Source organism: Homo sapiens, chromosome X (genome assembly GCF_000001405.40).
Source record: "Homo sapiens chromosome X, GRCh38.p14 Primary Assembly".
Lineage (NCBI taxonomy): Eukaryota > Metazoa > Chordata > Mammalia > Primates > Hominidae > Homo > Homo sapiens.
In genome coordinates this window covers 115,686,357-115,704,559 of record NC_000023.11, presented here as the reverse complement: position 1 = coordinate 115,704,559, position 18,203 = coordinate 115,686,357, and the positions used below count along the sequence as shown (strand labels likewise).

The window sequence follows — 18,203 nt, the reverse complement described above, 5'->3', positions numbered from 1 at the left end:
CACACCTGTAATCCCAGCACTTTGGGAGGCCGAGGTGGGCAGATTACCTGAGGTCAGGAATTCAAGACCAGACTGTCCAACATGGTGAAACCCCATCTCTACTAAAAATACAAAAATTCGCCAGGTGTGGTGTTGGGCACCTGTAATCCCAGCTACTTGGGAGGCTGAGGCAGGAGAATTGCTTATACCTGGGAGGCAGAGGTTGCAGTGAGCCAAGATTGTGCCACTGCACTCCAGCCTGGGCGACAAGAGTGAGATTCCATCTCAAAAATAAATAAATAAATAAATAAATAAATAAATAAATAAATAAATAAAAATAAAAATAAAAATAAAAAAATAACAACCCCAAAAATGTTTTTTTTTCCAATGTTCAGTTTTCTTTAATGACCCCTTCTCCCTGAAGGGCAGGTTCAGGCAGCTAGGTGATGGCAACAGATGTTCACTTGAAGATCTTGCCCTGATTGAAGGGTTTGCCCACATGCTGGAAGGCCCCCTCCCAGGAAAAGTACTCTCGAACCAGCATCTGGGTCTCCTCGCTGCCAGGATCCAGTTTCTGCCATGTGTATGACTCATAGCCCACCTGCCAATCTGGACTCAGTGGAAAGGCAAGCTCCTGGCCTCGGAAGACCCAGACTCCAGAAATGGAGCTGATATTGTTGGTTCCAAAGAGGATGACACTGGCGAAGGCATTCTTCCTCAGCTTGTCCAGTCACTGGAACATTCCAGTGATGAGATTGCAGCTCATGAAGGTCTGAGTGAATTCTTCAGGGAAGCGACACTCTGAGTACCACAGGGACCAGCAGTCCTTATCAAAGTGCTCCCAGAAATATGGCAGTGCCACAGAGAGTGTGTCTCATTGGAGTACTTGAGCTTCAATTCATCCAACACAAAGGTACTCTTGGGCAGGTGAGCAAAGGGGTCCTTGGCCTTGGGCTCAGCGGCCAGCGCCTGCTCACATTCATCCATCTCCTCCTCAGGAGTAGGGGCAGCCGCCTTTTTCTCCTCCTGCTCAGCCTGGGGCTTCTGCTTCTCTTCCCGTGAACGCTTCTCTTTCCGTGGTGTGTCCTTTTTAGGCTGGCTTTCCACAAACTTTTTAGCATCAGACTGGGCCATCTTCTCACATAGTTTTGCTTTCCCCAAGACAGTGCAGAACTGAGGCTGGTTAATGCAGGTGAGGAACCAGCGGTTGGTATTGGGAAAGGCCTGGCAGAAAGAAGGTTCTAGGACCTGCTTATAGAGCCACAATAGGGTACAGACAACTGTGATGTCAGTCAATGTCACTCGTTCGCCCTCCAGAAAAGTCCTTGTCTTCAAGTGAGCATCCAACAGCCCCAGAATTTGCCTCACTTCCTCCTTTGTATTCTCAGTGGCCTGTTTGTTGTGACGCATGATGCCCAAGGTGGGGAACACCCAGGTACTGGCTGGGGACACTATATTGCTATCAGCAAAGCTCACCCACTGCATCACTTGGGCTGCTGCCTCTGGAGTACTTCCCTGCAGCTCCTCATTGCTCACATAGTAGGCAATGGCATTGCTCTCAAACACACAGAATCTATCGTCACCTTCAAATGCTGGAACCTTGCCAGCAGGAAATCTGCGGAGAAATTTAGGGGTGCGGTTGGTTTGGCCAAAGTGGAAATGGGGTGGTGCGGAGAGCACACGGACATGAGCCCCTCTGTGCTGAGCAGCAATGAGGGCCTTGAAGTTCCTTCAGTTTTCAGGATATGTGTACAGGGTCCCAGCCGCCATGGTGATTCCGCAAAGAAAGGCTTTTTTGTTTGTTTGTTTTTTAAGATAGGGTCTCACTCTGTCACCGAGGCTGGAGTGCAGTGGTGTGATCTCAGCTCACTACAACCTCCGCCTTTCAGGTTCAAGCAATTCTCCTGTCTCAGCCTCCCGAGTAGCTGGGATTACAGGTGTGCACTACAACGCCCAGCTTTTTTTTTTTTTTTTTTTTTTTGGTGTTTTTAGTAGAGACAGGGTTTCACCATGTTGCCCAGGCTGGTCTTGAACTCCTGAGCTCAAGCAATCTGCCCACCTCAGCCTTCCGAAGTGCTGGGATTACAGGTGTGAGTCACCATGTTGGGCCTGTAGTTCCCTTATTTGTGATGCTTTACCTGGTTTTGATATGAGGGTTATACTGGCCTGATAGAATGGCTCACAAAACTCAGGAAAACACTTTACTTACATTTACTCATTTATTAGAAAGCGTTTTACAAAGGATACTGATGAACAGCCAGATGGAAAAGATGCACAGGGCAAAGTATGTGAAAAGGGGTGTGGAACTTCTGTGCCTTCTCCTGGCACCCTCCAGGAACCTAGATGTGTTAGGCTATCTGGAAACGGTCCCAAACCTTGTCCTTTTAGGCTTTTATAGAAGCTTCATTTCATAGGCATGATTGATGAAATCAACAGCCATTGGTTATGAAGTCAACCTTTAACCCCTGTTACCTCCCTGAAGTTTGGGAAGTGGGGCTGAAAGTCCCAACCCTCTAATCATGCTTGGTCTTTCCAGTGACCAGCTCCCACTCTGCAGCTACATAGGGGCTGCCACCAGTCATCTCATTAGCATACAAAAGACATTCTTATCACTCTGGAGATTTGAAGGGTTTTAGGTGCCGTTTTAGGAAACCAGGACTTGAAGACTAAGTTTTTTTAATTACTTTTTTTATTTTTTATTTAATTATATATTTTTTAGATGGAGTCTTGCTCTGCTGCCCAGGCTGGAGTGCAGCGGCACGATCTTGGCTCACTGCAACCTCCGCCTCCTGTGTTCAAGTGATTCTCCTGGCTCAGCCTCCTGAGTAGCTGGGACTACAGGTGCATGCCACCATGCCCGGCTAATTTTGTGTATTTTTAGTAGAGACGGGGTTTCACCGTGTTAGCCAGGATGGTCTTGATCTCCTGACCTCGTGATCCGTCCGTCTCGGCCTCCCAAAGTGCTGTGATTACAGGCGTGAGCCACCGTGCCCAGCGAAGACTAAATATTTATATTTCACAATATAATACCCTTTTGCTATTGCCCCCTACTGCCACCCTCAACAGCCCTAGACAACCATTAATTTCCTTGTGTCTCTACAGATTTGCCTATTCTGGATTTTTTTTTTTTTTTTTTTGAGAGGGAGTCTTGCTCTGTGACCCAAGCTGGAGTGCCATTGCACGATCTCGGCTCACTGCAAGCTCTGCCTCCCAGGTTCAAGGGATTCTCCAGCCTCAGCCTCCCAAGTAGCTGGCCACCATGCCTGGCTAATTTTTGTATTTTTAGTAGAGACAAGGCTTCACCATGTTGCCCAGTCTGGTCTCGAACTCCAGGGCTCAAAGTGATCCACCCACCTTGGCCTCCCAAAGTGCTGGGATTACAGGCATGAGCCATTGCGCCCAGCCAGGATTTTTTTTTTTTTACAGACAGGGTCTCACTCTGTCACCCAGGCTGCAGTGCAGTGACATCATCTCAGCTCACTGCAACCTCCACCACCGCTGCTGCTCTAGCAATCCTCACCTAGACTTCTGGAGTATCTGAAAATACAGATGCATGCCCTGGCTAATTTTCTTTATTTTTTGTACAGACAGAGTCTCCCTATGTTGCCAAGGCTGGACTCGAACACCTGGGCTCAAGTGATCCTCCCGCCTCAGCTTACCAAAGTGCTGAGATTATAGGCGTGAGCCACCATGCCCGGCTTGGACATTTTTTTCGTAGATGGAATAATACAATATCTACCACAATTTCTTTATCCCTTCACCTTTTGCTAGACACTAGGGATGCACTCAGTGCTTACCTATAAAGCTGCTATGATTATGTATATTTTTTGTACAGACATATGTTTTCATTTCTCCTTAGGTACCTACCTAGGAATGAAATTGGTAGGTTATGGAATTTTTATGTTTAACTGTGTGAAGATCTGCCAGACTTATGTGCAAGGTGGCTGTAACATTTTACATTCAGGAGAAGGGAGAAGAGGAGAGAGAAAAAGTCCACATTCTTACCAGCAGTGTATGAGAGTTCCCATTTCTCTAATGCTCACCAAAAATTTTTATTTTTTTATTTTTTATTTTTTTGAGATAGAGTCTCACTCTTGTTGCCCACGCTGGAGTGCAGTGGCACCATCTCGGCTCACTGCAAGCTCCGCCTCCCAGATTCAAGCAATTCTCCTGCCTCAGCCTCCCAAGTAGCTGGGACTACAGGTGCCCACCACCATGCCCAGCTAATTTTTGTATTTTTAGTAGAGACAGGGTTTCACAATGTTGGCCAGGCTGGTCTTGAACTTCTGACCTCAAGTGATCCACCTGCCTCAGCCTTCCAAAGTGCTAGGATTACAGGCGTGAGCCACTGCTCCCGGCCTGATTTTAATTATAATCATCCCAGTAGATTTGAAGTGGTATCTCTTTGTGATTTTGATTTACATTTCCCTGATGGCTAATGATGGTGAGTATATTTCCAAGTGCTTATTGGCCATTTTTATATCTTCTTTGGAGAATGTCCATTCAAAGATCTTACACATTTTTAAATCTAGTTGTTTATTGAGTTGCAATTGTTCATCATATGTTCTCGGTACAAGTCTCTTATTAGATATAGGATTTACAAAAATTTTCTCCCATTGTGTGAATTTTGTTTTCACTTTCTTGATGGTGTCCTTTGAAGCATAGAAGTTTTAAATTTTGATGTTATTTGGTATATATATATATATATTCAGTATATATATAGTATATATATATATATTCAGTATATATATAGTATATATATATATTCAGTATATATATAGTATATATATATATTCAGTATATATATAGTATATATATATTCAGTATATATATAGTATATATATATTCAGTATATATAGTATATATATATTCAGTATATATATAGTATATATATATTCAGTATATATATACTATATATATATTCAGTATATATATAGTATATATATATATTCAGTATATATATAGTATATATATTCAGTATATATACACTATATATATTCAGTATATATATACTATATATATATTCAGTATATATATACTATATATATATTCAGTATATATAGTATATATATATTCAGTATATATATAGTATATATATATTCAGTATATATATAGTATATATATATTCAGTATATATAGTATATATATATTCAGTATATATATAGTATATATATATTCAGTATATATATAGTATATATATATTCAGTATATATATAGTATATATATATTCAGTATATATATAGTATATATATATTCAGTATATATATAGTATATATATATTCAGTATATATATAGTATATATATATATTCAGTATATATATAGTATATATATATATTCAGTATATATATAGTATATATATATATTCAGTATATATATAGTATATATATATTCAGTATATATATAGTATATATATATTCAGTATATATATAGTATATATATTCAGTATATATATAGTATATATATTCAGTATATATATAGTATATATATATTCAGTATATATAGTATATATATTCAGTATATATAGTATATAAATTCAGTATATATATAGTATATATAAATTCAGCATATATATAGTATATATATATTCAGCATATATATAGTATATATATATTCAGCATATATATAGTATATATATATTCAGCATATATATAGTATATATATATTCAGCATATATATAGTATATATATATTCAGCATATATATAGTATATATATATTCAGTATATATATAGTATATATATATTCAGTATATATATAGTATATATATATTCAGTATATATATAGTATATATATTCAGTATATATATAGTATATATATATTCAGTATATATACTATATATATTCAGTGTATATATAGTATATATATATTCAGTATATATACTATATATATTCAGTATATATATAGTATATATATATATTCAGTATATATATAGTACATATATATTCAGTATATATGGTACATATATATTCAGTATATATATATAGTACATATATATAGTACATATATAGTACACACACATATATAGTACACATATATAGTACATATATATAGTACACACACACACATATATATATAGTACACACACACACACACACACACATATATATATATATATATATATATATATATATATTTTAGATTTTCCATTTTCTTTATTTTTTCCTTCCTGGAGGCAGCTACGATCACCTGAACGGGTACTTTTCTCAAGTGTATTGTTCATGTGATTGCTACCTAGTATGAATTTGTAAGTCACATGTTGCATTGCTATGCATATTTTTAAACATTATAAAATCAGTATTATGCTATGTACATTGTTCTCCAACTTTTCTTGATTAATTATGTTTTTGAGAATTATGTATGTTGAGCATACTCTACTGTATAACAATGCCACAATGTACTTGTCTATTCTCCTGTTGGCTGATGTGTTTCAGTATATATATTTTATCTTTTATTGATTGTGCTTTTGGTATTTGTGATATTGTTTTTATGTTTGATTTCCTAGGAGTCACCCCTGAGTCAGAGCAGCTTATTGTTCAGTGTTTGGTCAGAGTTTTGTGTTTAAACCCCTCATGCCAATGAAGCTTCTGTTCTGTGTTGACTCTGTGCATGGCTTGGAAAATGCTTTTATGTCTTGCCTATGTCTTGCTCTAAGGCTCACTCTTTTTTTTTTTTTTTTTTGAGACAGAGTTTCACTTTTGTTGCTCAGGCTGGAGTATAATGGCATGATCTCGGCTCACTGCAACCTCCACCTCCCGGGTCCTGGTTCAAGCAGTTCTCCTGCCTCAGCCTCCCGAGTAGCTGGGATTACAGGCATGTGCCACCATGCCCAGCTAATTTTTGTATTTTTAGTAGAAACGGGGTTTCACCATGTTGGCCAGGCTGGTCTCGAACTCCTGACCTTGTGATCCACCCACCTCGGCCTCCCAAAGTGCTGGGATTACAGGCGTGAGCCACCACACCCGGCTAAGGTTCACTCTTGATTGGCTACAGCCATCCCTGTTGTACACAGAGTTCCCCAAACCTCTGGACTGTGATCCAGAGGGTTCTTTCTGGCTGTCTCTTTTCTTGGTTTTCTCTAAGTATTCTCCAAGACCTCTACTGGTCACAGATTTCACCACTCTCTATTCTAAATAAAGTTAGTTAGTTATACAGGCTCATGCCTGTAACCCTAGCACTTCGGGGACTGAGGCAGGAAGATCGCTTGAGCAGTAAGCTGTGAGCCGTGATCATGCCACTGCACTCCAGCCTGGATGACAGAGGGAGACCCTGTCTCTAAATAAATAAACAAACAAACAAACAAACAAATAAAGTTAGTCCCTTCAGGCCAAACAGCAGAGCTCTTAGAAATTACAGCCCATCTTCCCCCTAGAAAATCCACTGTGTCACTCTTGTTGACTAGGGACACAGAGCCACTCTTTACAAAATGACATCCTGTTCTATTCTTAGAACAGGACACTGGAAGGCTATAGTAACCCCTACTCTTCATGGTTTGCCCATTCTGCCACAGAACTAGGATGGTTGTTGATAGTGTCCCATTATTCTGGGTTGTCACCACCTCTCATGCTCCCTCTTCTCTTTCTCCTGGCCTCCAGGCTAGGAGTAAGCCCAGAAGTATTTGTAGTAGGGTTTTGGGATGACAATCTATTGTATGTGTTGTGTCCCTGATGGGCTATCTCTGTTGCCTGAAGAGGCAGGGAGGCACGGGCTTCAGAAAGCTAGAGAAGAAACTTCTCATCCTTTGCCACTTGCCCAGGGAGAACCTATTTTTCTCTTTAAGGGAGCTAACTGCTGGCAAGTGCACAAAGGATGATTGAGACTAACAACAGGCTGGGCACGGTGGCGCATGCCTGTAACCCCAGCACTTTGGGAGGCCGAGGTGGGTGGATCACCTGAGGTCAGGAGTTCGAGACCAGCCTGGCCAACATGGTGAAACCTCATCATCTCTACTAAAAATACAAAAAATAGCTGGCGTGGTGGTGCACACCTGTAATCCTAGCTACTCGGGAGGCTGAGGCAGGAGAATCACTCGAACCTGGGAGCGGAGTGTGCAGTGAGCCAAGATCATGCCATTGCACTCCAGCCTGGGCAATAAGAGCAAAACTCTGTCTCAAAAAAAAAAAAGAAGAAGAAGAAGAAGAAGAAAAAAAAAAATCGAGACCTAACAACAAAACAGAAGAGTCATTCACAACCCTATTGAGAGGTAAAAAAGAATTTAAATAAGTACATGTTCAAATGATAATGTTGCCTGTTGTATCATTCATATGCCTTAATTGCTCCCTCCCCAGGTGAGAGGCAGGTTCCCAAGACCAGACACTGCCTGCGCCCTATCACCTCTCACTCTTTGTCATGGAACTGCTAGAGGGCCAGCACCTTAAGGGCTGCTGCTTGGTGGCGCCGATGCTGCCTAGGTGGGCGGCAATGTGTCGGGGCCAAAGGAGTGACAGCAGCTGGCAGGCTTCCCCTACCTGACTAGTGCCCTGATTTGTATGTTCTTTGTTTTGAGAAAACAAACACACTCCTCTTGCAAAATAATATTCACCTAAGGAGACATGTACAGGGTAAAGAAGAAAATGAAAATAGCCAGTGATGAGAGATGAGGAGTATTAAATGGGGCTGTGTATCCTCCCAGCACCTTGTTCCCTAAGGACAGAGAGATACAAATATAGTTTTAAAACAATAGTCTAGTGAGCTCTATAGGTCCGTGGGTAACTTGCTGGCCATTTAGTTAGTAAACAATAACAATGAAAAGATTTTTGTGGACCTACCTTTTTGATTTCTATTGACAGATGTAATCCCTTCTTATTTTTTCAGGAAAAACGTCTTCACAAATACAAAAGTGTTTCAAGGAAAAATTGAAGTCACTCCTGCCCACATCCACTGCCCAGTGTAACCGCCCTTAAAGATTGCTGTGTATTTGTGTACTAATTTTTCTGTGTTTATAAAATCATTCATATATTTATTAATAACATGTTTAGAAGAAATCTCTGCATTAACCTCAGGGCACACAGCTGTCTTTGATCGCCCCCAACTCCTCAGAATGTCCTGCCTCCATTTCACTCTCCCACAGCTGACTTTCTCCCATGCTTAGGCCCCCCAAGAGCACCTGCTGAAAAACTACTTCCAACCTTAAGCTCAGGCCCTGACTCACAGCCCTTTATTCTAACAGAGCCCCTAGGTGTTTGGGCAGAGGTAGGTGGGTATTACGAGGGAAGCGGGAGGAGGACAGTGAGGCCCCTTAAGTTCTTTGTCCTGGCCAGGCGGCTGCCCTCCTGCATTACAGGTCTCCACAGGATAGGTCCCAATTCCCAACTACTTTCAATTGGTGGGGTGTGGATTGGCAGGATGGGTTAATGCTCTGCCACAACTTTCTCACTTTATAATGGGAGCTGTATGGTAAATTCACCTGATAGTAATAACTTAAGCATATCCTGAGAATGATCCTGTATGGCAGACGCACCTGAATCCTGAATGTGTGTTTGAAGTTCTGAGCTAAGAAATCTGGGGGTGGCCAACACAGAGATTCATTTCTTATTTATGAAGAAGCTGTGAACCCCCAGCCGTCCCGTCCCATGGAATGTGGGCTATACAGGGGTTCAAGGCCCTGTATTTTGGGTTAAATGAAGACTGCCAGGTGGAGGTTGTTAGGGGGAGGCTGTGAAGTGAAAATACTATATAAGGCCGGGCGCGGTGGCTCACACCTGTAATCCCAGCACTTTGGGAGGCCGAGGTGGGCGGATCATGGGGTCAAGAGATCGAGACCATCCTGGCCAACATGGTGAAACCCCGTCTCTACTAAAAATACAAAAAAGTTAGCTGGGCATGTTAGCACGTGCGTGTAGTCCCAGCTACTCGGGAGGCTGAGGCAGGAGAATCGCTTGAACCCAGGAGGTGGAGGTTGCAGTGAGCCGAGACCGCGCCACTGCACTCCAGCCTGGCGACTGATCGAGACTCCATCTCAAAATAAAACCCTCTATAAATTGTGTGACTTTATTTTGCAAGTGGTTGTGGTTCTGTTGTCCAGCCCACTGTCGTTGGGTCTTGTTCCCCAATTGTAAGCCCTCAATAAAACCTCATGTCTCATTCACTGGCTCTGGGTCTCTTCTTCAGCCTACTGAACCCAGTATTCATCCCCATTGGAGTGTACAGGGGTTCAGCACAACATGAGCATATGACAAAGACCTGGGCTATGAATTTTAACTACCCCTGTCTGGATTCCTCCTTGTTTTTTCTCCTTCACTTTAGGGAGGAATGGCCATTTCCCCACCTAAAGAACCAAGTCATCACCTTTTTTTTGTCCTATTTGCTGGGTGGGCAGATTCAGTAACTACTTGTGCCAGGAAACCAAAGTCCATAGAGGCCGCGTGGCTTTGCCAAGGGGAACAACCAGCGTGGTGCAGGATAGTTTCACACAGGTGAGGCTCTCATGCTGCAAATCCTTTGCTCTCTCTGTGTTATATAAATGGATTTTTAAATTTCACCTTAGGGGGTTGTCTTAATCCGTTTTCTGCTGCTAAAACAGGAGTGACCAACCCGGAGTTTCGTTCTTTGTCTATGAGGAACATCTGAGCCACCATCCTGTCCCGTGGAACACGAGCCATATAGGGGTTTGAAGCCCTGAGTTTTGGTCTAGATGAAGGCTACCAGGTGGAGGACGTTAAGGGGAGAGTGTTACGTGAAAATGCTATAGAAACTTCTGAAACAAAGAGAAAAATGTGTGACCCCAATTCACTCTGCTAAAAGGAAAAAATTAAGCTGAAATCTGAGTGTTGCAAGCAGCTGCCTTTTCTTTTGTTCCTAAGCAGATAGCTACAGATAAAAGGTTAAATATCTCCACAGGTAGCTAATCAGTGTTCACCTTTTCTTATGTAAAGTGCCGATTTACTGAGCCTGAGACGAATACATGATTGACTATTCCCTTACCAGCTCCTTTTCTCTTGCAACATGTGCCTTCAGTAATGTGACCATGCCCGCCCCCTTTCCCCTCCATCCTGCTTCCCCCACGCATCTCCCCCCACTTTTTTTAAGATAGAGTCTCGCCCTGTCACCCACGCTGGAGTGCAGTCCCAGGTTAAAGCAATTCTCCTGCCTTAGCCTCCTGAGTAGCTGGGACTACAGGTGTGTGCCACCACGCCCAGCTAAGTTTTATATTTTTAGTAGAGATGGGGTTTCACCATGTTGGCCAGGCTGGTCTTGAACTCCTGACCTCAAATGATCCACCCGCCTCAGCCTCCCAAAGTGCTGGGATTACAGGTGTGACCACCATGCCAGGCCTGCTTTTCCCCCTTTAAATAATGAAGACATTAAAATTCTCTTCGGAGAAAGGCACAGACCACAGATTGTTTCTGTGATTCCATTGTTCTTTCTCCCAGGACATTGTCCTTAGCCTTGGCAAAATAAACTTCTGAATTGATTGAGACCTGTCTCAGATACTTCGTTTTACAAACTGCATGGTCTTTGCAAGCAGTTGCAATTCTCCTGTCCAGCTCACTGCCATTGGACTCTCTCCCTTTTATGTAAGCCCCTAATAAAATCCCAAGTCTCATTTGCTGGCTCTGGGTCACTTCTTTGGCCTCTTGAACCTGGTGGCTTCCCTACTGAGGTTTATAGGGGTTTGGCACCGCATCCATTCTTGAAAGCAGAGCCTAATTACCTCTTAAAGGTCTCACCTCTTTTTTTTTTTTTTAAGATGGAGTCTCACTCTCACCCAGGCTGGAGTGCAGTGGCGCAATCTGGGCTCACTGAAACCTCTGCCTTCTGGGCTCAAGCGATTCTCCTGCCTCAGCCACCCAAGTAGCTGGGATTACAGGCATATACTACCACGCCTGGCTAATTTTTGTATTTTTAGTAGAGACAGGGTTTCACCATGTTGGCCAGGCTGGTCTCGAACTCCTGACCTCAAATGATCCACCTGCCTTGGCCTCCCAAAGTACTGGGATTACAGGCATGAGTCACCACACCCAGCAGGTCTCACCTCTTAATACCATCACAATGGCAATTAAATTTCAACATGGGCCAAGTGCAGTGGCTCACGCCTGTAATTCCAGCACTTTGGGAGGCCAAGGCAGGTGGATCACTAAAGGCCAGGAGTTTGAGTCCAGCCTGGGCAACATGGCAAAAACCCATCTGTACTAAAAATACAAAACTTAGCTGGGCGTGGTGGTGCATGCCTGTAATCTCAGCTACTAGGGAGGCTGAGGCAGGAGAGTCATTTGAACCCAAGAGGTGGAGGTTGCAGTGAGCCACGATCAGGCCACTCCACTCAGCCTGGGTGACAGAGCAAGACTCTGTCTCAAAAAAAAAAAAAGAAAAAAAGAAAAAAATTGGCCGGCCACGGTGGCTCACGCCTGTAATCCCAGCACTTTGGGAGGCCGAGGCAGGTGAATCACCTGAGGTCAGGAGTTCGAGACCAGCCTGGCCAACATTGTGAAACCCGCATCTCTACTAAAAATACAAAATATTAGCTGGGTGTGGTGATGGGCACCTGTAATCCCAGCTACTCGGAAGGTTGAGGCAGGAGAATCGCTTGAACTTGGGAGGCGGAGGTTAAAGTAAGCCAAGGACTTGCCATTGCACTCCAACCTAAGCAACAAGAACAAGACTCTGCCTCAAAAAAAAAAAAATTCAACATGAGCTTTGGAAGGGACACTGAAGCCATAGGACATAGAAGCCAACTTCCTGCAAACCTCAGTATTTAATGCTTCTAGATTCCCTGCCCTAGCTCAACCTCCAACTCCCCTTCTCTGTGCCTGTCCAGTTTCTTTTTTTCTTTTCTTTTCTCTTCGTTTCTTTCTTTTTTTTTTTTTTTTTTTGAGATGGAGTCTTGCTCTGTCACCCAGTCTGGAGTGCAGTGGCGTGATCTCGGCTCACTGCAACCTCTGCCTCCCAGGTTCAAGCAATTCTCATGCCTCAGCCTCCCGAGTAGCTGGGATTACAGGTGCCACCACCACACCTGGCTAATTTTTGTATTTTTAGTAGGGACAAGGTTTCACCACGTTGGCCAGGCTGGTCTCGAACTCCTGACCTCAAGTGATCCACCCACCTCAGCCTCCCAAAGTGCTAGGATTACAGGTGTGAGCCACCACACCCGGCCACCTGTCCAGTTTCAAGGTCAGTAAAGGCAAGCTCAGTATACTCCAATTCTTTTCTCAGCTAGAGGCCAGGACCATCCTGACCTGGTTTATAATTTGCTCCTGTTCTCTCCAATTTAGCTCCTGTTCAGAGCCCTGAGGATTAGTTTCCCTCATGGCCCCAGCTCCTGGCCTGCTGACACATTTTGATCTTCCTAGCCCTAAGCTCAGTCATCAAGCTCACCTCTCTGGGCCCTGCATCCCCTGGAACTCCACAATTATCTCTGGCCCTCTGGAACACAAACCCTAACCACTCCAAATTCAGCTGCACCTTTGCAGGGTGTAGTGGAAACCCAGGCTGGCAAGGACTGTTCCTAAAATCCACATTCTCACCTGTTGTGCTCCCAGAATCCTGCTGCCTAAATATATCCCCTCCTGGTTTCAGAACAGAGACTCACAAACATATATAGATAGGGTCAAAGTGACCTCAGCTTCAAGGTCAAATCAGTCCTTCCCAAATGAAGACTTTGTTTTCCCACAAAAGACAGACTGTTTCCCAAAAGTTTAAAGGATTCCTTGCATCTTGAAATAGCTGAGGCTTTGTTCGTATTTCATGGAAGCCCAAGGAGTGCGGTGTACCTGCTGCGCTCCTTGAACACTGGGTTCAATTTTAAATAAGCTAGTAGCACTTTGCAATTTGGCCACTAGATGGCAGGACCTCTTCACCATGAGTATAACATGACGCTGACTCAGAAAACCCCCAAGTAGTTAACACCAGCCAGCCAAACAAAGCAAAAACAACAGCCAGCCAGACAAAGCAAAAGGAATGTACCAAGTTTGGTGAAAGATCCTCTTCATGTATGAATCTTTTCAAATTTGTTCTTATTTTGATAATGATGTTAGCAAATACAATTATGATTATCTAACTTGTTTCCATAGTGATATCTGTCCTTATTATACCTTCTCTCCACACTTAAGTCTTCTAAGGAAAACCACTCTAATCAGGAAAGAAATCTGAGACTTTTTATGGAAATACAGGGAAAATACAGAGACTCCATTTTTACAGGAAAATGTTTTTCAAAGGAAGTCTCTAGGAATCCTCAGCAAGCTTCCCGAACACAGGTCATTTCAAACAGAAGAAGTAATCCAAACTTCATTTAGGGCAATTACTCACAGTTAAACCTTTACAATAATTAATTTCATGCTAAGTACTTTGAACTCCTTCCAGGAGTGAAGTGGGTATACTGCAAAATTATTTTCCTCTTTTGAGAAGACAAAGTCAGAAAAGACAAAGTAGAGAGGAGGAGACTAGTTTTGGGCATGTAAGTAGGGGTGAAAATTCCAGTGTATTTTCTCATTGCTCTCCACGCGAACAATCTGGAGATGAAGTCAGTTGTTTCCAGAGTCAAATACCAGGAACATCTCGGCAGTGAAACAAGCGGGATTTGTTGTTCACTGAAGGAACCATGGAGCACCTCCAGAAAAGGGTGTTAGAAAGGATTTATTTTAAGATTTGAGTTTGTATTAGGTGGTTTTAGAGAGGATATAAGGAATTAGTGCTATGCTCTGAATTGGATGCTATGAGGGAGTGAGGGTAATTCTATTATTGGGAATCCTAGTAAGTTTATCTAGGATGAGGCAAGAATACAGAGTGAGGCTAACGCTGTAATTTGTTTAAAAAAACAAAAGCAGCTGGGCATGGTGGCTCACTCTTGTAATCCCAGCACTTTGGGAGGCCAAGGCTGGAGGATTGCTTGAGGCCAGGAGTTCGAGACCAGCCTGAGCAACATAGCAAGATCCTGTCTCTACAAAAACTAAAAATAAAGCTGGGCGTGGTGGCTCACACCTGTAATCCCAACACTTTGGGAGGCCGAGGCAGGCAGATCACCTGAGGTCAGGAGTTCGACACCAGTCTGGCCAACATGGTGAAACCCCGTCTCTATTAAAAATACAAAAACTAGCTGGGCATGGTGGCACACACCTGTAATCCCAGCTACTCGGGAGGCTGAGGCAGGAGACTCGCTTGAACCTGGGAGGCGGAGGTTGCAGTGAGCTGAGATCAAACCATTGCACTCCAGCCTGGGCAACAGAGCAAGACTCCATCTCAAAAAAATACATAAATAAAAATAAAAATAAAATAGTCAGATGTGCTGGCGCACACCTTCAGTCCCAGCTACTCCAGAGGCTGAGGCAGAAGGATTTCTTGAGCCTGGGAAATTGAGAATTGAGGCTGCAGTGAGCTATTATCATGCCATTGTACTCCAGCCTGGGGAGCAGAGTGAGACTGTCTCTGAAAGAAAAAAAAAAGCAGTAGTCACTCATATTGGCCAGTCTAGGGGAATATTGGTCATTCCTGTAGCTGAGACAATGTTTATGTTTAATTTAGTTTTTGTTAAAACATTACAGTTTGGTCTTGTTTTTGCCTTGATTGATCATTGTCACAGAGTGGCCTTGTCTGATGTTGCTGTTCTGTGAGATTTCTCGTGTTCAACAGCAGATCACCATGGCCCAGGTGTGAATGCAGGGACAGCAACACTAAGGCTGATGCCTTGCTCTGTTTTCCTTTTGGCCAAGGGCAGATGCAGTTAGCCTGCAGAAACTTCATCCTTGATATCCAGATTTTCACCATAGCCAAGACTTTGCTTTAGAAACTATTTGCAGAGAATGTAATCTAAATTTGGAGTATTGATAGTTTCTCCTGCTCCTTTTGTTGCGGGGTAAATTGTTGAATCCTCTGATTTGTTAATGGTCACAGAATATCATTTAAAACCGATAGGGGATTAGGGGTGACAGCTCAGGCCTGTAGTCCTAGCACTTTGGGAGGCCAAGGCAGGAGGATTGCTTGAGTACAGGAGTTTGAGACCACCCTGGGCAGCACAGTGAGACCCCTCCTGTCTCTAAAAAATAAAAAAAATTACCCAGGCATGGTGGTATGCACCGATAGTCCCAGCTTTTCAGGAAGCTGAGGTGGAAGGATCGCTTGATCCTGGGTGGCTGAGGCTGCAATGAGCTATGATCGCACTATTGTATTCTGGCCTGGGCAACAGAGTGAGACCCAGTCTCAAAAATAAAAATAGGGCCGGGCGCAGTGGCTCACACCTGTAATCCCAGTACTTTGGGAGGCCCAGGCGGGTGGATCACTTGAGGTCAGGAGTTCGAGACCAGTCTGGTTAACATGGTGAAACCCTGTCTCTACTAAAAATACAAAAATTAGTAGGGTGTGGTGGTGCATGCCTGTAATCCCAGCTACTCTGGAGGCTGAGGCATGAGAATCACTTGAACCTGAGAGATGGAGGTTGCAGTGAGCCGAGATCGGGCCGCTGCACTCCAGCCTGGGGACAGAGCAACACTCCGTCTCAAAAAAAGCCAAACCAAAACAAACAAAAAAACTGATGGAGTTCAAGACATAACACCTCTCCCCCAAATAAGAGTGTAGACTACCAGATTATGCCACCCCATATTATGCCTGTTGGGCATAATAATTATTTTGAGAAACAAGAGACAAAGGAGAAACTCTGAAAGCAAGAGTAGAAGTTACCCCCGCCCCCGACACCTTTTTTAGCCGAAAACCTTAGAATACAGAAGTTACCCTTTGGTAGGAGAAATTTACATACATATAAAAAATACATACATATAAAAAATCTCCATTTGTAAGGGTTTCTCCCACTGTGCACCAGAATAAGAATGGTGACTCTAAATTACTGGAGACTCTTATCAATGGAGAAGGCAGGGAGTTAAATCTGCATTTTTGTTTTTTGCTTACTCATGAGTCTATTTGTTTTGTAGTATATAGATGCAGCCAGTAGTGTTTAGTATAGCATAAATTCCCCCTTGGCTGCTTAGGAGGTAATCAACGACTATGTGATTTCCCATAACAATCTGGGCTAATGAGTTTAAACTAGTTTGTCTTTCAGAGTGAAGCGTTTGTTATGACTTTTGTTAGGGTATGAGGCAAGTTTTGGACCATGTTTGCCAGTGGTATTCTTTAATGAGGGAATTGCAACTTACATAGTATCCACGAAAAGGGAGTCAGTTATGTCTTTTGGGAGTTTGTTTGTTTAATTGTAAATAAGCTTTTGTGTTCTGTGTCTTGGAGGTTTCTGGGTAGAATTTTTCCAGGGAAACATGATCCACTAGGGGGATGATACTTTTAAAGATCTGAAAGTGTCTCACAATTATACTAAATACACAAGATAAATTAGGATGTAGCAGACCACTGTAAGCCCAATATCCGTATAAAGTGTAGTACCCTAATTAGGAGCTAGACTGTTGTATAAATATTATGTATGACAATAGGAGTAAGCCAGTTTCGTGTCCTTTGAGGCAGACAGATTTTTGAGTTGGGTTAAACAGCTCAGCAAAGCAGAATGACATGTTTCTGGAGAATAAACTGACTATGGTGGTCAGGAGGGCCTAACTAATATTGTCTACTTCTGATTGGCTAGGTCTCGCTGATAGTATTATAATAACCTTAGCAGAGGCATTCTAATAATCTGAGGTCAGAGTCCATTTTATACAAGGCTGCAGGATTAACGATATGAGGGAAGGTTAAATGACAGAAGGGCCTATAAAATGGAATCTGCCTTTCTTTTTTTTTTTTTTTTTTTTTGAGACAGAGTTTTGCTCTTGTTGCCCAGGCTGGAGTGCAATGGCACAATCTCGGCTCACCACAACGTCCGCTTCCCGGGTTCAAGCGATTCTCCTGCCTCAGCCTCCCGAGCAGTTGGGATTATAAGCATGTGGCACCACGCCTGGCTAATTTTGTGTATTTTTAGTAGAGACAGCATTTCACCGTGTTAGCCAGGCTGGTCTCGATCTCCTGACCTCATGATCCACCCGCCTCGGCCTACCAAAGTGTTGGGATTACAGCCATGAGCCACCATGCCCAGCAGTGCCTTCTTAAGTGTTTAAAGGAATTGCTAGTAGATTATTAGCAGCAGGATCTGGTGGAAGATGTTAGATCCAGCAATCGGTTTAATTCAAAGCAGTATCTAGGGCCTGTGAAAAACATGAGGTGATAGAAGACAACCATAGGGATTCAAAATAATAGGATGAAGATAAGTGTGGGTTATATTAGTGTTCTAGAGGGTGTCCTAGTGTAGTAATAGGTAATCATAGTAGAAGAACAAAGGACAGAAAAGAACGTTGAAGAATTAGA

At 42.8% G+C, this 18,203-nt stretch overlaps 1 pseudogene, besides 3 other annotated features; it reads right to left on the bottom strand.

Moving 5' to 3' along the window:
• On the bottom strand, positions 365-1,769 carry EEF1GP5 (eukaryotic translation elongation factor 1 gamma pseudogene 5; annotated as a pseudogene).
• Positions 10,504-11,095: an enhancer, noted in NCBI's record as "OCT4-NANOG-H3K27ac hESC enhancer chrX:114927785-114928376 (GRCh37/hg19 assembly coordinates)". NCBI's record gives its function as "activates a minimal SCP1, AML or CMV promoter by ChIP-STARR-seq in naive H9 embryonic stem cells {active_cell/tissue: H9 hESC(naive)}" and the evidence as "EXISTENCE:reporter gene assay evidence [ECO:0000049][PMID:30033119]".
• Positions 14,137-14,891: an enhancer, noted in NCBI's record as "H3K27ac hESC enhancer chrX:114923989-114924743 (GRCh37/hg19 assembly coordinates)". NCBI's record gives its function as "activates a minimal SCP1, AML or CMV promoter by ChIP-STARR-seq in naive H9 embryonic stem cells {active_cell/tissue: H9 hESC(naive)}" and the evidence as "EXISTENCE:reporter gene assay evidence [ECO:0000049][PMID:30033119]".
• Positions 16,403-17,158: an enhancer, noted in NCBI's record as "NANOG-H3K27ac-H3K4me1 hESC enhancer chrX:114921722-114922477 (GRCh37/hg19 assembly coordinates)". NCBI's record gives its function as "activates a minimal SCP1, AML or CMV promoter by ChIP-STARR-seq in naive H9 embryonic stem cells {active_cell/tissue: H9 hESC(naive)}" and the evidence as "EXISTENCE:reporter gene assay evidence [ECO:0000049][PMID:30033119]".